At 50.7% G+C, this 19354-nt stretch overlaps 1 protein-coding gene and 3 pseudogenes across 3 annotated transcripts in view, besides 2 other annotated features; 3 read left to right on the top strand and 1 right to left on the bottom strand.

Annotated features, from left to right (window-relative positions):
• NBPF2P (NBPF member 2, pseudogene) lies at positions 4272-9124 on the bottom strand (annotated as a pseudogene).
• Positions 9232-13384, top strand: HS6ST1P1 (heparan sulfate 6-O-sulfotransferase 1 pseudogene 1; annotated as a pseudogene).
• Positions 9546-10065: an enhancer, noted in NCBI's record as "H3K27ac-H3K4me1 hESC enhancer chr1:21754875-21755394 (GRCh37/hg19 assembly coordinates)". NCBI's record gives its function as "activates a minimal SCP1, AML or CMV promoter by ChIP-STARR-seq in primed H9 embryonic stem cells {active_cell/tissue: H9 hESC(primed)}" and the evidence as "EXISTENCE:reporter gene assay evidence [ECO:0000049][PMID:30033119]".
• CROCCP5 (CROCC pseudogene 5) lies at positions 15484-17990 on the top strand (annotated as a pseudogene).
• Positions 17060-17354: a silencer, noted in NCBI's record as "tiled region #1847; HepG2 Repressive non-DNase unmatched - State 20:ReprD". NCBI's record gives its function as "represses a minimal TATA promoter and a strong SV40 promoter by Sharpr-MPRA in HepG2 cells {active_cell/tissue: HepG2}" and the evidence as "EXISTENCE:reporter gene assay evidence [ECO:0000049][PMID:27701403]".
• NBPF3 (NBPF member 3) overlaps positions 17953-19354 on the top strand; it is a 48112-nt gene continuing 46710 nt past the window's right edge. For 2 of the 3 annotated variants that reach the window (XM_047432038.1, XM_047432039.1), the window contains exon 1: positions 18403-18696. The gene's annotated coding sequence lies outside the window, so the exon portion shown is untranslated. Of the gene's footprint in view, positions 17974-18402; positions 18697-19354 lie in introns of those variants that run through there. The other variant, XM_047432037.1, reaches the window with a different exon arrangement.

Below are 19354 nucleotides of genomic sequence, written 5' to 3' on the forward strand. Positions count from 1 at the left end.
AGAAAAATTATCCGGGTGTGGTGGTGTGAGCCTGTAGTCCCAGGTGCTCAGTGGATGAGACCCTAGGATGTCATCGGCCTGAGAATTCCATGCTGCAGTGAGCTGTGATCTTGCCACTGTACTCCAGCCTGAGTGAAAGAGTGAGATCATGTCTAGAAACAAAAGAAGAAAAAAAAAAGGGGGTGAAAGCCTATATATTGAAGACTACCAAGTATTGCTAAGAGCAGTTAAAGACGTTTGGAATAGAGAACGTTCCTTCTTGCATTTCAAGATTGCTTTTGTTTTGGGGGGACACTTGCTATTTTTTAGGAACATGAAGTTCTTCTCAGGCATTCCTGTAAAAAAGGCCACTTTTTGATAGGATTGTATTGAGTCTGTGGATTGCTTTGAGTTGTATTTTTATCTTAACCATGTTACAACTTCCAACCCATGGACACAAGGTGTCTTTCCATTGATTTAGGTCTTCCTTAGTCTCCTCGAGCAATGTTCTGTAGTTGTCTGTGTACAAGTACTGCACCTTCTTGAACAAATTTATTCCCAGGCATATTATCCTTACAGGTGCTATTATAAATGAAATCATTTTGTCAGTTTTCTTCTCAGATAGTTCATTGCCATCACAATGGATTGTTTGCTGAAAGTTTGCTGAATTCACTTATTAACTCTGATAGTGTGTGTGTGTGTGTGTGTGTGTCTGGTGTCTGTGTGCATGTATGTGTGTTTGCCTTTGTATGTATTGTTTGGGATTTTCTATACATAGGATCACACCATCTGCAAATTGAGATCATTTTGTTTTCTGTTCAAAAATATTTTTTCTCATGTTTATTTTTGAAAGATAATTTGGCCAGGTGTAGACTTGTAGGTGACAGTTTTTCTTTTTTTAAATACTTTATTGCAAACTTCTTGTTTGTAAAGTTTCCTATGAGAAATCTTATGCCATCTTTATATTTAGTGCTCTGTATGTAACATGTTCTTTTCCCTTTTATTACTTTTAGGATTTCCTTTTTATCACCGGTTTTGATGGATTCGATTAAGGTGTTCCTTGGTGAAGTTTTCTGCATGTTTCTTGTTCTTAGGATAATCATATTTCTGTAATATTTGAAGTTTATTGTTTCCATGGAGCTTCTAAATCTTTCATCCAGTATGTTTTAAATATCTTTGTCTCTCTTCTCCACTACCTGCCCTTCAGGGATTCCATTTAGCCCTTTACTAGGGTGTTTAAAGTTTTTATGCTGATGGTCTTTTTATGTTTTCAAGTCATTTGTTAATGTGTGTTCCATTTATGTTAGTTTCAACTTCTATTCCTTCTAGTTCAATAATCTTCTCTTCTGCAATGTTTAATCCAGTGCCTTCTTCCATTTCACACTGTAAATCATAGTTTTTATCTACAGAATTTGATATTTAAAAAATCTTCAACCTCTCCATTTAATTAAAATACAATTATACTAATTGCTGTAATGTCCTTTTCTTCTATTTCCAACTTGTGTGTCAATTTCAACCAGATTATTAGATTCTTCATTATGTGTCATGTTTTCCTGCTTCTTTGGCTGCTTGATATTCTTTTATTTTTATTTATTTGTTTTTGGGGGGATGGAGTTTCACTCTCATTGCCCAGGCTGGAGTGCAATTGTGTGATCTCAGCTCACTGCGACCTCTGCCTCCCAGGTACACAAGCGATTCTCCTGTCTCAGCCTCCCAAGTAGCTCAGATTACAGGCATGCACCACCATGCCCAGCTAAATTTTTTGTGTTTAGTAGAGACGGGGCTTCACCATGCTAGTCAGGCTGGTCGTGAACTCCTGACCTCAGGTGATCCACCCGGCTGCTTGATATTCTAAGATTTGATGCTGGAGCTTTGGTGTTAATGCTCAAAAGTGCCCAAAGACACCACTCGACCTCAGTGTCTATGCACACCCAAGCTTTTGCAACAGGAGAGGTAGAGACAGCAGAGATGAGTGTGCTACAACATGCTGGTAGAGGGTACCCCAATTGTGCTTGGGGCTTCCTGTGCCTCATAGAAAAATGTGCCTTCCTTAATTTTTCCCATAAGAACCACCCTACTTCATGCCCTGTCTCTCTGTCCAAACACCAGGACAGCCCTCAGACCAGTCTCAACCACCCAACGGATTGACAAAGGTCCAAATATGATTCAGTGGAGAAGGCATTCTCTTGTCAACAAATTGTGTAGAAACAACTGGACATGCATATCCCCAAAGGAAAAAGATTCACCTGAACCTCAATACTGACTCAAAAACTAACTCAAAATGGATTATGCAACTAAATATAAACTATAAAACTAGAAAAAGTATAGCAGAAAATATAAGACAAAATCTTCACGACACAGTTAGGCAAAGTGTTCTTTGTTATCAAGAAACACAAACCATTAAAGAAAACATTGATAAATTCAACTTGATAAAAATTAGAAGTTTTTGCTCAACACGAGACAGTATTAAGAGAACAATATAAGCTGCAGATTGGGAGAAAAACAGGGGAAATGACAAATGTGACAAAGGGCAAGTGTGATAGTTACTTGCACGTGTCACTGTGACCGAGCACCGGGGTGCCGGGACATTCGGCCAAATGTGATTCTGGTTGTGTTCCAGAGAGTGTTTCGCATATGATTAACATCGGGATGGGCAGACTAAGTGAAGCAGATTGCCCCACTTAACGAGGGGGGGACTCATGCAATCAATCAGAGGTCAGGAGAGAATTAAGAGGCCTAATGAGAAACAAATGCTTTCCTGGGTATCCAGCTTTCCTTCCATCTTGGGAATTTCAGCCTCCATAATCTCAGAAGCAAATTCACATATGTATACACACACATATACATTTCATAGGTATGTGGCTAAGAGTGTATTTTTAAAAGTTCAGCCATGAGATGATTGGTGAAGCCAGCCAATGAATAAGGGTGTGTTCTGTTATATGACTCGGTCTTCTTTTGTATACGATTGAAGTTCTGCATTTGAAGTAGGAGGATAGGAGAGAGCAAGTCCACCTAGGACGATAACAGCTGAATTTCTCAACAGACACTTCAAAGCCCTAGGGGTTAACTTAGAGAGTCAAAAATCCCACCTATAACCCTGTCCCTTAACACCAGGGCTAGGGAACACTGTGGTCCTCAGGTGATTTTCTTTCACTTGGTCTGGGAGCCACACAAGGGCAGAGGGAGCAGGAAACACTAAGCAAATCGAGGCCAGGACAGCAGGGAGGGCCTGTTCATGACAGAACACAGGTAAAACTATCCTCAGAGAGAGCATGTGGAAAAACACAGATCATGCCTGAGACCTGGTGGATTAGAGCACTGGCTACTGGGGAATTGAAAGGAAGGGGCTTCACCATGCAGAGGACCAGAGGTGCCAGTCCTGGAAACGCAGAATTGCTGGGAGATGGGGAGGCATGGACAAAGGAAGCATCCTCAGGAGACTCATGGTGAAGAGAACAAATGAAGTAACTGGCAGAAATTATAGGTCCTGGTAGAACAAAATAGAATCCCACAACGAGAACATACACCATGTATGTCCCGCAAGGAAGACAATAGCTCCTAAAAACACAAGAAAAATCATTTTGGGCAAACACCTTATATCCAGTAATGCGATCCATGTATCAAGACCGTGAGGAAGATTATTAAACATGCTAAACTCAGCGAGACCTGATTCCCTCATGAGGACTCTGTTAGGATGAGTACCACTCAGCAAGTGATGACTGTGACATTCACTTTTGAACAGCTCATGAGCATTAATATATTTAATTGTGGATCTAAACCAAAAACCAAGGTGTGGGCAAGATGACAACCACAGAATGTCACTGGTGTATGTTTAGGTTCAAATACGATTATGAGAAGTGGCAGGTAAAGGAGGTAGGAAAAAGAAAACACATCATGTAATTGACTGTCATATGGAAATATTTGACGTTGAAAGTCATAATTTAAAACGTATAAACCAAATATTAGAAGTGTGTCTAGTTCAAAGGGGGGAAAACTATGAAACATTTTTAGTCAATATCAAACATGAGCTACACAACCCTTCCTAAATGCCAGAGGCACACGCAGACACACACACACACACTCTCACAAAGAATATAAATATCTAGAACCAAGAAATGGAGTACATGCATTCTGCTACATATGGTAAACATAGCCTACAAGGTGGAAGAGATTAGAAAATAAACAGGGAAATGAAAATGTTTTTATTAATTCGCATCAGTACCCACCAAAACCAATCAGCATAACAAAAGATTATAACGCTGAATGTAAAAAACAATCCAACAGTCCAGAGTGATAGGCAAAAGTTTTTAATTGTATAGATTAAAATAACTTTGGACAAAAATTAAAACTCAGGCAGAGAATGTTTTTTTTTCAACAACACACACTAGCAAAAACAAAGGCACAGTAAACATTGAGGCAGAAAGTTTCCAGCGTAGAGATATGAATATAATAATAGACACAGGCAGGGATGATTAATAAATGATAAAATGTTTACAGGATGATCACTGGAATACAGGACATTTCTACTTTTAAAAACCACTCTCCCAAATACTTCATCATAAGTAAGGTGTCTCTAAAAGGGACAGATCTCCTAGACCCCTCCTTAACCAAGTAACCAGTCCTGATATCATGATAATGCTGATGGACAAACTAGACCTTCTCTGCCCACAGATGGGCTGAGGTTGGAAACTCACAGTATCGACTCTGTAGTGTTCTTGATGAAACGTTTAGGCTGAATTTAATCATGAAGACATTTTCAGACAACTTCAGAATGTAGACCATTGAGCCAGACAGCTGACCTGTCCTCTACAAATAAGTCCATGTCACCACAATCAATGACAACAACAAAAAGATGAGGAAATATTTGGGGTTCAAAATAACTAAAGAAATGAGCTACATTATCATTTACTTCTTCTGAACCCAAAATATCTCTCCTCCTTTTTGTTGTGTGATTCGTGGTGACGTGGACTGTGTGAAGGAGACAGGTCAGTTGTCCTGCTCAGTGTTCTACATTCTGCAGTTGTCTGGTGATTACCTCCTATGAAACTCAGGCTAAGCGTTTTCTGCAAGAACATGGCATTGTTCATATTCTGCACCGGCAGAGTCCCGGGTGACATGCTGTCTCTTGCCAGCGGCTCCTGACTCCTGTTCTTTACAGGATGGAATTGAAAGGAGCAGGGCTAAGGCCTCTCAATGCTGTTTGTCCATCTAGCTGTGGTCTTCCTAAGTATTGATATCAATTGGAGGCTGAAGGACTATGGCTTCTCTACTCAAAGGAGCCTAGTGGGTTAACAACTGTCAAGAGCAGTCAGTGGTTCTGAAATACAATCCTCAGCCAAGGATCCCTCCTGTGTTACAGATGGATCAGCTAAAACAAACCAACACTGAAGATACAAAGAATGGGGTTAGGTTCAATGAAACCAGGGTAACACCTTTGGATGAGCTAAACACAAAGATGACACTGACCTTGAGCAGGTATAGCAGCTCAGAGACATGCCTGCAAAATGAAACCCCTGAGGAACTTTGTAGCTACCCAGAGATATCTGGTTCAAATTAGAATGTCTGGCAGATCACTCCCGGCATGTGCTACATAGTCGTGTGAACGTGTCACACCTAACTTGGGTCCAATGTCTTCAGACTGAGCACAGGTGGCCACTGGCATGGTCTGAGAATAGGAATAGAGCCATGCCCACTTTCCCATCCTATGACTGGGCTTCCAAAGGGAACTACAGTTTCATTCAAACCTACATGTGCCTATACGTCCTGCCTGCAGCAATGACATCTCTCAGCTTAGTAAGGGCTGCTTAGTGTGGGAATATGACTCCCATCTGGAAGGCCAGGTGGTGCCTTATCACTGTCAAAGTAAAAAACCTATTGTCCACGTCAAGGGCCAAGCTGACGTCCTGTTCCTCAAATGAGTAAAAGGCACTTCTGTACTGCTGGAATGAGGCATGTAGTTGAAAGTAAGTTGAAGTAGTCGAATAACATCTATCCAGTGAGTCCTGCAAGACTTCAGGCTCTTCTGCTTCCATCAGCACCTCGTTGAGCCTGGAAAAGGAGACAAAACTAAAGCAGCCAGGGAAAATCAGACACCACAGAGCCCCAACTAGATTTCAGGGGTAACATAAGGAAGTGGTCAAAAAAGGAAAAGGATAGGTCCATTAATGAGGTAAAAAAATTATTGCCTTTATGTTGGGATAGAACAGGGCCAAGTAGAAAACAATGAAAGAGAAAGACAGAGAGTGAGAGAGAGAGACAGAGAGAGAGAGAAAGTGAGCTCAGTGAATTGGCCAGGTGACACATTGATGAGGGAGTAAAAGGACACTGTGAGTTAGTGCCCTCAGGACACACAGCAAACAGTGATCATGAGAAGAGTGAGCTCAATAGTTTTCCATCAAGTGTGCTTAAAATTCCATGCAGTCGCCATAAGGGTACAACTTCTGAGGTATGGTCAACCTATGGTACATTAGTAAATGATAAGGGGAGGAAGAAATGAAAACCTAAACGTCTACTGCAATGAAAACCAATAGCAATGTCAGCAGGAGTAATTCAGCCTTCATTGAAAACATGAAATCAAACACACTGTTTTCCCTGGATCTGTTGTCTCCAGGTGTTAACACAGAATTAAGCGACCACAATTGCTGAAAGTTACCTGGGGCATGGTGGCTTTTGATCTTCTTCCCCTTCTTGGTACTTTTCAATTTCTGCAATAAATTCAGACATGGACAGACACATTAAGCTGATTCCCCTACACACATAACATTCCACTGTCTAATCCTCACACAGGGACCTCAGGCTCCTCAGCATAAGAATAGGACACTGTGAGAGATATATTTCAGGAGGCCTGAAGGATGGTCATGATAGAGATTCCTTGGTTTTTGTCCCAGAAACTAAGGGTAAAATGTCCCTATTCTGGTAGATCATTATCCCAATATCATTTGTCCCAAGTTTGTGCAAACGGTTATGCCATATCTTTCCAATCAATTTAAAGCAAATGCCCTCAAACGATTTATAGGAGAAAAACTGCAGTATTCAGCCCTGTCTCATCAAATACTCAGATTGTTCATGGTTGTGAGGATTTTAGACACTGAAATTAGAGTGAGAAAGGAAATCTACAAACCCTTGAGTCAAAATCATAGTTCTCTGAATTTGTCCCATCTGCCCAGGTCCAATGCCTTGAGAGTAGAATCAGAGTGCCACAGGCATGGCCTGAGACTAGGAAGAGAGCCACGCTCACTGACCCATCCCATGTTTGGGCTTCCAGGTAGAACTAGAGTTTCGTTCAACCTATATGTGCCTATAGGTCCTCAGTGCAGCAATGACATCTCTCAGCTCAGTAACGGCCTCTTAGAGCAGGAATAGGATCTCTATACGGAAAACTCAGTGGATCCTTATCACCTTCATAGAAAGGTACTCACCATCCACGTCAAGAGAAAAGCCAACGTGTTCTTCCTCCAATGAGTAAAAGCAACTTCCGTAGGGCTGGCATGAATCAGGCAGTTCTGGATAACTGAAAGGAGTCGAATACCATCTATCCAGTGAGTCCTGCAAGTCCTCAGGCTCTACTACCTCCAGCAGCTCTCTGCTGAGCCTGGAAAAGTAGAAAAAGTAAAGAATAAGCCAGGGGAAATCAGACACCACAGAGCCCCAACTAGATTTCATGGGTAGCATTAGGAAGTGGTTAAAAAAGAAAAAGGATACATCCATTAATGAGGTAACAAATTATTGCCTTCAGTTGGGATGGAACAGGGCCAAACAGAAAAGAATGAAAGAGAAAGACAGAGAGACAGAGAGACAGAGGCAGAGAGAGAGAGAGCGAGCGCTCACTGAATTGTCCAGGTGACACACTGAGGAGGGAGTACAGGACACTCTGAGTTAGTGCCCTCAGGACACACAGCATACAGTGATCATGAAAAGACTGTGCTCAATAATTTTCCATAAAATGTGCTCAAGTTTCCATGCAGTCACCATGAGGATACAGCTTTTGAAGTATGGTCGACCTACAGTAGGTTAGTAAGTGATAAGGGGAGGAAGAAACGGAAACCTAAATATCTACTGCAATGAAAACCAATAGCAATGTGAGTAGGAATAATTCAGGCTTGGTTGAAAACATGTAATCGATAATGTCGGCCTGCTCTGCTTTCCCTGAACCAGGAGTCTCCAGGTGTCAACACAGAATTAGCTGTTGACAATTGCTCAAACTTACCTGGGGCATGGTGGGCCTTGGTCTTCTTCCTCTTCTTGGTCCTTTTTAATTCCTGCAATAAATTCAGACAGGGACAGACAAGATAAGCCAATTCACCTACACCCATAACAGTCCACTGTCTAATCCCCACACAGGGACCTCAGGCTCCTCAGCATGAGAACAGGACAATGTGAGAGATATACTTCAGGAGGCCTCAAAGCTGGTCATGATAGAGATTCTTTGGTTTGCATCTCAGAACCAAGGGTGAAATGTCCCTATTCTGGTAGACAGTTATCCCAAAATCATTTATCCCAAGTTTGTGCAAACAGTTATGCCTTATTGCTCCCATCGGTACCCCAAAGAAAATGCCCCAGATGATTTCTAGGAGGAAAACTGCAGTATTCAGCCCTGTCTCATCAAATGCCCAGCTCATTCGTGGTTGCAAGACACTGAAATTTGAATGAAGGAGGAAATCTACAAACCCTTGAGTCCAAATCATGGTTCTGTGAATTTTTTACACCTGCCTGGGTCCAATGTGCTGAGAGTGGGCTCAGGTTGCCACAGGCATGGCCGGAGACTAGGAATAGAGAGCCATGCTCACTGACCCATTTCATGTCTGGGCTTCTAACTGAAACTACAATTTCATTACAACCTCTATGCGCCCACGGGTCCTGCCTGCGGCAATGACATCTCTCGGGTCAATAAGGACCACTTGGAACAGGAATATCACCCATATCTGGAGGACCAGGTGGAGTCTTATCACCTTCATAGTAAGGTACTCACTGTCCAAGTCAAGAGCCAAGCCAAGGTGTTGTTCCTGCAATGAGTAAAACTCACTTCTGTAGGGCTGGCATAAGTCAGGCAGTTCCAGGTACCCACAGGGAGTTGAATAAAATCTATCCAGTGAGTCCTGCAAGACTTCAGGCTCTTTCTCATCCAGCAGCTCCCTGCTGAGCCTGGAAAAGTAGGAAAAGTAAAGAATAAGCCAGGGGGGGCGTTCTCGGCGCGGAGTGGAGTGGAGCGGAGCGGGCTGGTGCTGGGGGCGCGGAGAGCGCAGTGCTGGCCGGGGCCGGGAGCGGGGCCGAGCGGGAGCGGAGTCGGGCGTCGGGCCCGGGGAGCCGGGGCCGGGCGGGGAGCAGCCATGGCACCGCGGAGGGTCGGGGCCCGCGCCGCTGCGGGCGGCCTGGGCGCCGAGTAGCCGGGCCGGGCCGGAGCGCGGGCGGCGGCGGAGGCAGCTGCGCCCGCGCCTCCTGCCCTCCCAGGCCCCGCGCCCCGCGCCCGGGCCCCGGCGATGGTGACACATGCGGCGGCGGCGCGCCAGCGGCAGGACCATGGTTGAGCGCGCCAGCAAGTTCGTGCTGGTGGTGGCGGGCCCGGTGTGCTTCATGCTCATCTTGTACCAGTACGCGGGCCCAGGACTGAGCCTGGGCGCGCCCGGCGGCGGCGCGCCGCCCGACGACCTGGACCTGTTCCCCACGCCCGACCCCCACTACGAGAAGAAGCACTACTTCCCGGTCCGCGAGCTGGAGCGCTCGCTGCGCTTCGACATGAAGGGCGACGACGTGATCGTCTTCCTGCACATCCAGAAGACGGGCGGCACCACCTTCGGCCGCCACCTCGTGCAGAACGTACGCCTCGAGGTGCCGTGCGACTGCCGGCCCGGCCAGAAGAAGTGCACCTGCTACCGGCCCAACCGCCGCGAGACTTGGCTCTTCTCCCGCTTCTCCACCGGCTGGAGCTGCGGGCTGCACGCCGACTGGACCGAGCTCACCAACTGCGTGCCCGGCGTGCTGGACCGCCGCGACTCCGCCGCGCTGCGCACGCCCAGGAAGTTCTACTACATCACCCTGCTACGAGACCCCGTGTCCCGCTACCTGAGCGAGTGGCGGCATGTGCAGAGGGGTGCCACGTGGAAGACGTCGTTGCACATGTGTGATGGGCGCACGCCCACGCCTGAGGGGCTGCCGCCCTGCTACGAGGGCACGGACTGGTCGGGCTGCACGCTACAGGAGTTCATGGACTGCCCGTACAACCTGGCCAACAACCGCCAGGTGCGCATGCTGGCCGACCTGAGCCTGGTGGGCTGCTACAACCTGTCCTTCATCCCCGAGGGCAAGCGGGCCCAGCTGCTGCTCGAGAGCGCCAAGAAGAACCTGCGGGGCATGGCCTTCTTCGGCCTGACCGAGTTCCAGCGCAAGACGCAGTACCTGTTCGAGCGGACGTTCAACCTCAAGTTCATCCGGCCCTTCATGCAGTACAACAGCACGCGGGCGGGCGGCGTGGAGGTGGATGAGGACACCATCCGGCGCATCGAGGAGCTCAACGACCTGGACATGCAGCTGTATGACTACGCCAAGGACCTCTTCCAGCAGCACTACCAGTACAAGCGGCAGCTGGAGCGCAGGGAGCAGCGCCTGAGGAGCCGCGAGGAGCGTCTGCTGCACCGGGCCAAGGAGGCGCTGCCGCGGGAGGACGCCGACGAGCCGGGCCGCGTGCCCACCGAGGACTACATGAGCCACATCATTGAGAAGTGGTAGTGGCGGTGGTGGCCACGGGGAGGCCTCTTGGGGTGTGTGGGGGATAAAACAGGACAGACGACAGGTCCACCCAAGACTGTCAAGGGATGAGCATCCCAAACCTGCTCCACAGAGGTAGCTGCGTCCTGAAAAAAAACACAGCAGGGACATAGTGGGGCTGGGCAGGGATGGGGCTTGAGAAATCAACAGGTGCAGCCCAGTGGGTCAGAGGAAAGCGTGCTCGAAGGATGCCATGGTCAGGGCAGAGCCTCCAGAGCAGGTGTTGTGCCTGGAGCTGCTCTCCTGGCCTCCTTGGATTTATCGCAAAAACTGAAGGTTTGCGTGAGAGACGAGGACAGCGGAAAGTGGACCTGCCAGGCCGGGAGTGTGTCCCTCACCAACTATGCACACAGCACTCGCTCTTAGCTCCTCTGTCCGGGCTACTAGGAGTGAGACCAGCTTCTGGCAACTGCCCCAGCTCCAGGCCATCCCATAGCTCCTCCTCTTCTGGCTGCCCCCAATGCCCCGAGGCCTGGGGAGCCCCCAGCTCACCCATCTGTAGCTCCCTCAAAGTCAGGGCCCACCCCATCTGAGGCAGAGAAGACTCGAGTCCAGCCCCCAGGAAGCCTGCTCCCCTCTCTGGCCCATGGTCCTGCTTCATGCTTTGGGTCAGGAGGCCAAAGCTGATGTTCAGGCCCCACCCACTCCCTACAGTCCTCAGACCAAGGAGGGTTTGGGTAGTAGGCCCGAGCTGCATTTCCGGCCTTCCGTGGGCCAACTGGCAGCCCAGGAGTGGGGAGGCTTTGGCCAGGCATGCTGCCACTTGTGCGTGAGTCCGCGGCTGGCCCTTGGAGGTGACCATCCAGGCAGGCCTGGCTCAGACTGGAAGGGCTGGGGACCGAGGGCTCCCCTGCCTCTGTTCTCCTTTCTGACCCACTGGGATTTGCTAGCAGGCTGCCCCAGCCCCATCACCGAAACACATACTCAAGAGCTCAAATACCACTGCTCCCACCAGCGTACGGATTAAGTTCATCAGGCTTCCATCGGCTGGAGCATGGGACCATAGCCCCTGCCCAGGAGCCATACCCTCGGACCACAGTGGCTCTGTATGGCCAGGAACTGGGACTCGAGCTTTCAGATTCTCAACTAGCCTTGGCAAAACAGCTGTAGGCGGCCTCCCTGACAACAGACACTCAGCCCTCCCCACCCTGGCTCTCCTTGCATTTCCCCATGCTCCCCACCCCCTGGCAAAAGGCTGGCCATGCTCTGTTCCCAGCAGCCGCGCAGGTTTCCCCACTGGCTGCAATGGCCCTACTAAAAGCCACGTTGCATATCCGTTGTAAGCACGTGCCCTGTGCCCTGTCCCCATTCCTTATGCCCTAGGAGGCCAAGCTGGTGTCTCTAGGAGGGCCCACACGGGCACCCTGGATCCCCCAGAGAGCAGATTGGTGTGCTCAGGCCGCAGGCTGACTCAGAGCTAGGGCAGTGGGCTCTGCAGGCCACCTGGCTGGGGTTGGTGGGGGTCCTCTCTCCTGCCCCAGCTTCCACTCAGCCACCACAGTTGCCCCACCATGGGGTGGAGACGTGGGTCACCACCGGCTTGGGAGCAAGCGCCTTCTGCAGCACAGGAAGCCGAAGCTGGGGTCAGATGAGGTTGCTACCCCTGGAGGTCTGGCATAAGGGCCCCACCCTCAGGTCTCCTACACTGGCCCCATTTTACTTTGGGGTCCAAGGACAGGATGGTCAACAGGGCAGGGTGGACAGCGTGCCAGCGCCGCGCAGGGCCACCTCCCTGGGTGGATGCATCACACTAAGGAAGCGAGTGCCAAGGGGATTTAGTGGTGTGGTTCTTTCAAAGGGAGGTCAGGGTAAATGGGAATCTGCTCGGACACTCAACATGGGGGTGGGTGCACTCCTTGGAGGAGGAGGAACATGTTCAGGGGATCGTGAGGTCTTGCACAAGCCACGTGGGGCACCTTGGCTTCCCGGCAGGAGGTGGACACCCAGCCAGAGGCCTGGCTCAAGGTGACCTCACCTTCACCATGGGCTTCCTGGGTGCGCGGGCCTGAGCGCAGGTTGTTTTGTACATATTGGAATATGTGTTAACTTATGCCCCGCATCCCAACTCACACGGAAGCACGGGTCTTGTCTCAGTCTCTTCGCTGCATTTGGAAAGCAGTCTCCTCTCGGGCCAGCGCCGGGCTGAGGTGTCCAGAGGCGGCGGCAGCTGGCAGTGCCCTCAGCCCCCAAGTGTCCAGCCTGGCACTTCCCATTCAGGCCACCTGCTTTGGGTCAACAGTTCCTTTGCCAGCAGCATCTCCTAAATTGTAAGGACTCTGTCCACCCGGGGTCCTCCCAGGGCTGTGAGGACGGAAACAGGCAGGCAGTGGAGCTAACAGCTTAGTCACCAGGACCCCCAGACCTGCAAACGTCCCCTCCTGGAAGGGGAAGCCAGGAACAGCAGAACTGCCCACAAAACAAGGCTGTGAACTTTTCGGGAACTGGAACTGTTTAACTTGAACCCAGGATTGTTTAAAGCTTTATTTATTTATAGATTCTTCTTAAAAAAAAAAGTGTTGAAGAAATTTTTTGGTTATTCATACAAAAAAATGAGTTGATGATGGAAAAGCAAGTCATAATCATCTAATTGTTTTTGTCTAGGTCAAGAATGAATGTTAGCTGATAAAATAAACCCTGACAAGGAAAAAAAAAAAAAAAAAGAAATTTTACCAGACGCATATACAAAAAAGTGTGTGTGTGTGTGTGTGTGTGATCTGCACTATTTGCTTATATAAAATAACCCTGGAAGGTCACTTAAGAAACTGATAGGGCAGGCACGGTGGCTCATGCCTGTAATCCCAGCACTTTGGGAGGCCGAGGCGGGAGGATCACCTGAGGACAGGAGTTCAAGACCACCCTGGCCACCATGGCAAAACCCCTCCTCTACTAAAAATACAAAAATTAGCTGGGTGTGGTGGCTCACGCCTGTAATCCCAGCTACTTGGGAGGCGGAGGTGGGAGAATCGCTTGAACCCGGGAGGCAGAGGTTGCAGTGAGCCAAGATTGTGCCACTGCACTCCAGCCTGAGAGACAGAGCGAGACTCCATTTCAAAAAAAAGAAAAAGAAAAAGAAAAAAGAAACTGATAATGCTTCTCATGGTAACTTGGTGGCCAAAAAAGAAAAAGACAAAAAAAAAAAAAGAAAAAAATTGTATACATAAAAAGAAAAAGAAGCTGATAATGCTGCTTGCCTCCAAAGAAGGAAGGGGAATATCTGGGCTCAGAGGTGAGAGGGAGCCGTTTTACTGTGTACCCTTTTGAAATGTGAAACTTGTGAACATGTGACATAATCAGAAGTTAAATATAAAAATTATAAAGGCTACTTAAAATTTTGGTTTTGTTTTTTTGAGACGGAGTCTCGCTCTGTCGCCCAGGCTGGAGTGCAGTGGTGCGATCTCGGCTCACTGCAACCTCTGCCTCTCTGGTTCAAGTGATTCTCCTGCCTCAGCCTCCAGAGGAGCTGGAATTACAGACGTACATCACCACACCCAGATAATTTTTGTATTTTTAGTACAGACAGGGTTTCACCATGTTGGCCAGGTTGGTCTTAAACTCCTGACCTCAGGTGATCCTCCCGCCTCAGCCTCCCAAAGTGCTGGGATTACAGGCATGAGTCACCGTGCCTGCCCTATCAGTTTCTTAAGTGACCTTCCAGGGTTATTTTATATAAGCAAATAGTGCAGATGACACACACACACACACACACACACACACACTTTTTTGTATATGCGCCTGGTAAAATTTCATCTTCACAGTTCTTGAAGATGCTTTCTTCCCCTACTAGTTATAACTGGGACGTGGCTCTGGATCAGGCCAGGAAGAACTTCTCCACTGGTTTTTCTTGGCCACAGTTTTCCACTTAAAGGATGTACCATTGTGTACTTAGCAGCAGTCCCCTTTTGATAGACATTTAGGTTGTCACCAGGATTTCTTACATGAGCAATGCTGCAGTGAACCTCCTTGTCCACAAGCCATCTCCTCTGTGCTGGGGTATATCTGTAGGATACATTCTTAGAGGAGGAGCCGGTGGGGAAGGTCCTATGCATGCATAGTTTTCGGAGCTCTCCCTCAATGCCCTCCGTTGTGGTTGTACTCACCTTCCCACCAGCTGTGTAGGGGAGGGCCTGTTGCCCCAGAGCCCCTCCTTGTGTATTATGTGTCCCTTTTTTTTTTTTCCCCAATGTGATAGTGGACAAACGACATCCCAGTGTAGGGTTTTTTTTTCTTTCTTTCTTCCTCTTTAGTTTTTGAGATGGAGTCTCACTATGTTTCCCATTCTGGCCTCAAATTCCTGGGCTCAAGCAATCCTGCCTCAGCTTCCTGCATAGCTGGGACTGCAGGTGCATGCCACTGCACCCAGCCCAGTGTAGTTTTATTTTTATTTATTTATTTTTTTGAGACGCAGTCTGGCTGTGTGGCCCAGACTGGAGTGCAGTGGCATGATCTCAGCTTACTGCAACCTCCTCCTCCTAGGTTCAAGCAATTCTGCCTCAGCCTCCCAAGTAGCTGAGACTACAGGAGTGCATCACCACGCCTGGCTAATTTTTTGTATTTTTAGTAGAGATGGGGTTTCACCATGTTGGCCAGGCTAGCCTCGAACTCCTGACCCCAGGTGATCTGCCTGCCTCGGCCTCCCAAAGTGCTGGGATTATAGGTGTGAGCCGCCACACCTGGCCCCAGCGTAGTTTTAATTTGTAGTTGGGAGTGAGCCCCATCCCATCCCCATCCTGTGCTCTCTCCCCCAGGGACCTGCTGCAGCTGGGAGGGGAGCTGTCCAGAAGGTCGGCCTGGGACTGAGCATGGGCCTGCAGCTGGCAGAGAGAAGGGTCGAGGCAGCCCTGAAGAAGCAGGCCCTGCTGCAGACCCAGCTGGAGGAGCAGCTGCAGGACAAGGTGCTTCACGAGAAGGGACCTGGCCCAGCAGCAGATGCAAAGCGACCTGGACAAGGCTCACCTCAGTGCCAGGTGGGTACCTGGTGGGTGCCACACGAGGCAGGTGTCCCTGCAGAAGGTAAAACTGGAGAGTTGGGGAGAAGGGAGCATCTGTTCACTAGGGTCAGGCCTTCCTCTGTGACCTCAGCCAGTTTTCCCAGGCACCCCACTGAGGTTCCGAAGGCGCTTGCCCAGTGTATATCATAAACAGCTTAGCCTCCAATGACAGAACTTGTGGCCGGGTGCGGTGGCTCACACCTGTAATCCCAGCACTTTGTCAGGTGGGGGGATCACCTGAGGTCAGGAGCGCAAGACCAGCCTGCCTGACAGGTGAAACCCCGTCTCTACTAAAAATACAAAAATTAGCCGGGCGTGGTGGCAGGTGCCTGTAATCCCAGCTACCAGGGAGGCTGAGTCAGGAGAATCGCTTGAACCCAGAATGCAGAGGTTGCAGTGAGCCAGGATCACATCGCTGTACTCCGGCCTGAATGACAGAGCGAGATTCTGTCTCAAAAAAAAAAACAAAAACTTTTGCCCCTTATTCCTGCCACCTGGACAAGTCCTCAAGTGCTTTCCCATGAGATAAAGCTGGTGGCAACCTCATTCCCACTTCACAGATGAGAGGTGTGAGGTCTGGAGAGGAGCTGGGACTTGCCTAAGGTCACACAGCCAGGGAGGTGGATGTTAGGGTCCCTGCCTCGGGTTTGGAGAAGCATGGTGGACACAGAACTAGTGGATTTGAGAGGCAGGGGTGGTCCCCCACTCACCTCTGCTGTTCCCCCAACTCCAGAGTGACAGAGCTGGGCCTGGCAGTGGAGCGTCTTCAGAAGCAGAATCTGGAGAAGGATCAGGTCAACAAGGACCTCACCAAGAAGCTTGAGGCCCTGGTGAGCTGCAGCTGCCCCTGAGATGTGGCAGTGTGGGATGGGGTACCGGACAGATCCATGGACACAGGCTTAGGGCTGGGCTGCCTGGGCCACCCCCAGCGTCCCACTCACACGCAGGTTCAGCCCTCACAGGTGTGCAGGCTTTGTGGTAAGCACACTCACCTCCTCCATCCCATTTCTTCCTCACAGCAGCCCTGTAGCGCAATCCTCATGACACAGATGGGGAAACTGAGGCCCAAGAGGGGAAATGCTTGTCCAGTCTCAGAGCCAGTAAGCGGGAGAGTCGGGACTTGAACTCCCATCCACTGTCTCCAGGTCCAGATGCTGCCTCTGGCAACCCAGCTTCCCCTCACCCCCTCCCCCGACCAGTGGGACACTCACTCTTCGGGGGTACAGCCTGGTTTGGTCACCCCCCTGTCTGGGGCCTGACCTGGGTTCTAGGTCCGGGTCTCCTCCCATCAACTGTGTGACCTGGGGCAGAACACAGCTCTTCTCTGGGCCTAGTCTGTTCAGTGAGGGTCTCGGGCCTGCTGTGGGGTCTACCAGGTGGCTGGCCTATGGACATGGCTTCAGAGGCCACCTGGTCAGTGGTGGGCCAGGGAGGGAGGGGAAGGGGAGGTTTCAGATAAGACAGAACCCCGACTACCCTTTGTCTCCCTCACCGCACTCCAGGAATCCCTGTGGCTACAGGAGCAGGCGGCCCTGGAGACAGAGGACGGAGAGGAGCTACAGCAGAGCCTAAGGGACCTGGCACAGGTGTGAGCCCAGAGAGGTGGGAAGACAGGGCCCTGCCAGGAAACCCCGGGCTCCCTCGCCACGCCTTTCGGTGGCCTGGGACTGAACTGCAAATGGGTGGGGGCCTGGGACCCAGGCTGTAGCTGCTCAGCACCCCTGCTAACTCACCTGGCCCCTGCCCTGGGGAGCCCCCAGTCTCAGAGGGGAGGCACGGCCCTTTCGGAGCCCACCTGTGAGCAATGCCAAATGATGTCTTTGCAATAAACGGGAGGCCTCAGCGGCGAGCTGAGGGCTGAGTTAGTGGAGGAGGTGAAATCAGGAAGGCTTCTTGTAGGAGGCAGCATTTGGGATGAGGCGGCCCCCAGCCTCGCCTAGGCGTCTTTGCCCAGCCAACCCCACGGTTCCTAGCTCTGCGGCCTCCTTCTGCCTCCCTCCTCTACCCTCAGGCCGTCCTGTCCGAGGCTGAGAGCGGCGTCCAGCTGAGCGGCTCCAAGTGCACCGTGGATGCGTCGGAGCGCAGCCTGCGGGGACTCTGGGGCCAGCGGACCCCGTCCCCACCGCGGTGCTACTCGCCAGGCAGAGGCCGTTCGCCCCGCCGAGGCCCCTCCCCGGCCTGCTCAGACTCCTCCGCCCTCGCCCTGATCCACTCCGCCTTGCACAAGCACCAGCTGCAGGTCCAGGTAGGAAGGGGCTTGAGCGTTCTGGGTGCAGCCAGAGGCCCGGGGGGAGGGGCTCGCGCCCTCCGGGTGGGGGCGGGGACGGGTCCGGGGAGGTCCGGCGGAGGAGTCTGAGCGCCCTGGGGTGCAGCCAGAGCCCTGAGAAATAGTGTCTGAGAGTGTCAGGATCCCCAAGGAGGTGGCCGAGAGCTCTGTGGTGAAGCCGAGCCCAGAAGTGGGGGTGCTTGGGCAGCTGGGGGTGGGTGCTTGGGCAGCTGGTGGAAGGAGGAGGCTGCGGCAGTGTTAGGGTCCTGGTAGAGAGGGAGACAGGTCCCTGGTCATGCAGAGCCAGGACCCTGGGAAAAGGTCTAGCAAGGGAAATCAGAGCTTGGGAACTAGGGGCAGAGCCAGGGTAGGGAGGAGTCTGAGAGTGGAACCAGGATGCAAGGGGGAGGAGCCTGGGAGCCCTCGGGGTGGTGTCAGAACCCAGGAGAGGAGTGTGCCTGGGGGTTTGTCTGGCATCGGTGGGTGGGTGGGGGCTTTGATTGGAGTTGTCCGGGACCCCAGGGAGGTGAGGGCTCAGAGGGTGGTGAGAGCACATTGGGGAGTGGAATCCTGGCTCTCAAACGTAGGCCTAGAGGAACAGATGTAGCGCCTGCGGGACAAGACCGAGGGCACCATGCAGGTCCACGAGGACGCCCAGCGCGAGGTGCAGCGGCTGCGGAGAGCCAAGAAGCTCCTGAGCAGGTGCTGGGGAGGTCTGAGCTGGGGGCTACTGAAGAATAAGTCAGCGTTTGGGCATAACACCAGTCGAGCCTTATGCGTGTGACTCTGCACTAATATGGTCGCCACTAGCTACATGTGCCTATTAACATTTATTTATTTTTGGGATGCAGTCTCGCTCTGTCCCCCAGGCTGGAGTGCAGTGGCGAGATCTCGGCTCACTGCAAGCTCCGCCTCCCGGGTTCGTGCCATTCTCCTGCCTCAGCCTCCCGAGTAGCTGGGACTACAGGCGTCCGCCACCTTGCCTGGCTAATTTTTTTTTTTTTTTTCTTTTGAGACGGAGTTTCACTCTGTGGCCCAGGCTGGAGTGCAGTGGAGCGATCTCGGCTCACTGCATCCTCTGCCTCCCAGGTTTAAGCAATTCTCACCTTAGCCTCCGAGTAGCTGGGATTACAGGCATGCACCAACACCCCCGGCTAATTCTTAGTTTTAGTAGAGATGGGGTTTCTCCATGTTGGTCAGGCTGGTCTTGAACTCCCGACCTCAGGTGATCCTCCCGCCTGGGCCTTCTAAAGTGCTGGGATTACAGGCGTGAGCCACCATGCCTGGGCTATTTATTTTTAAGATGGAGTCTCACTCTGTCCCCTAGGCTGGATTGCAGTGACATGATCTCAGCTCACTG

Source organism: Homo sapiens, chromosome 1 (genome assembly GCF_000001405.40).
Source record: "Homo sapiens chromosome 1, GRCh38.p14 Primary Assembly".
In the NCBI taxonomy this organism is placed as follows: Eukaryota; Metazoa; Chordata; class Mammalia; order Primates; family Hominidae; genus Homo; species Homo sapiens.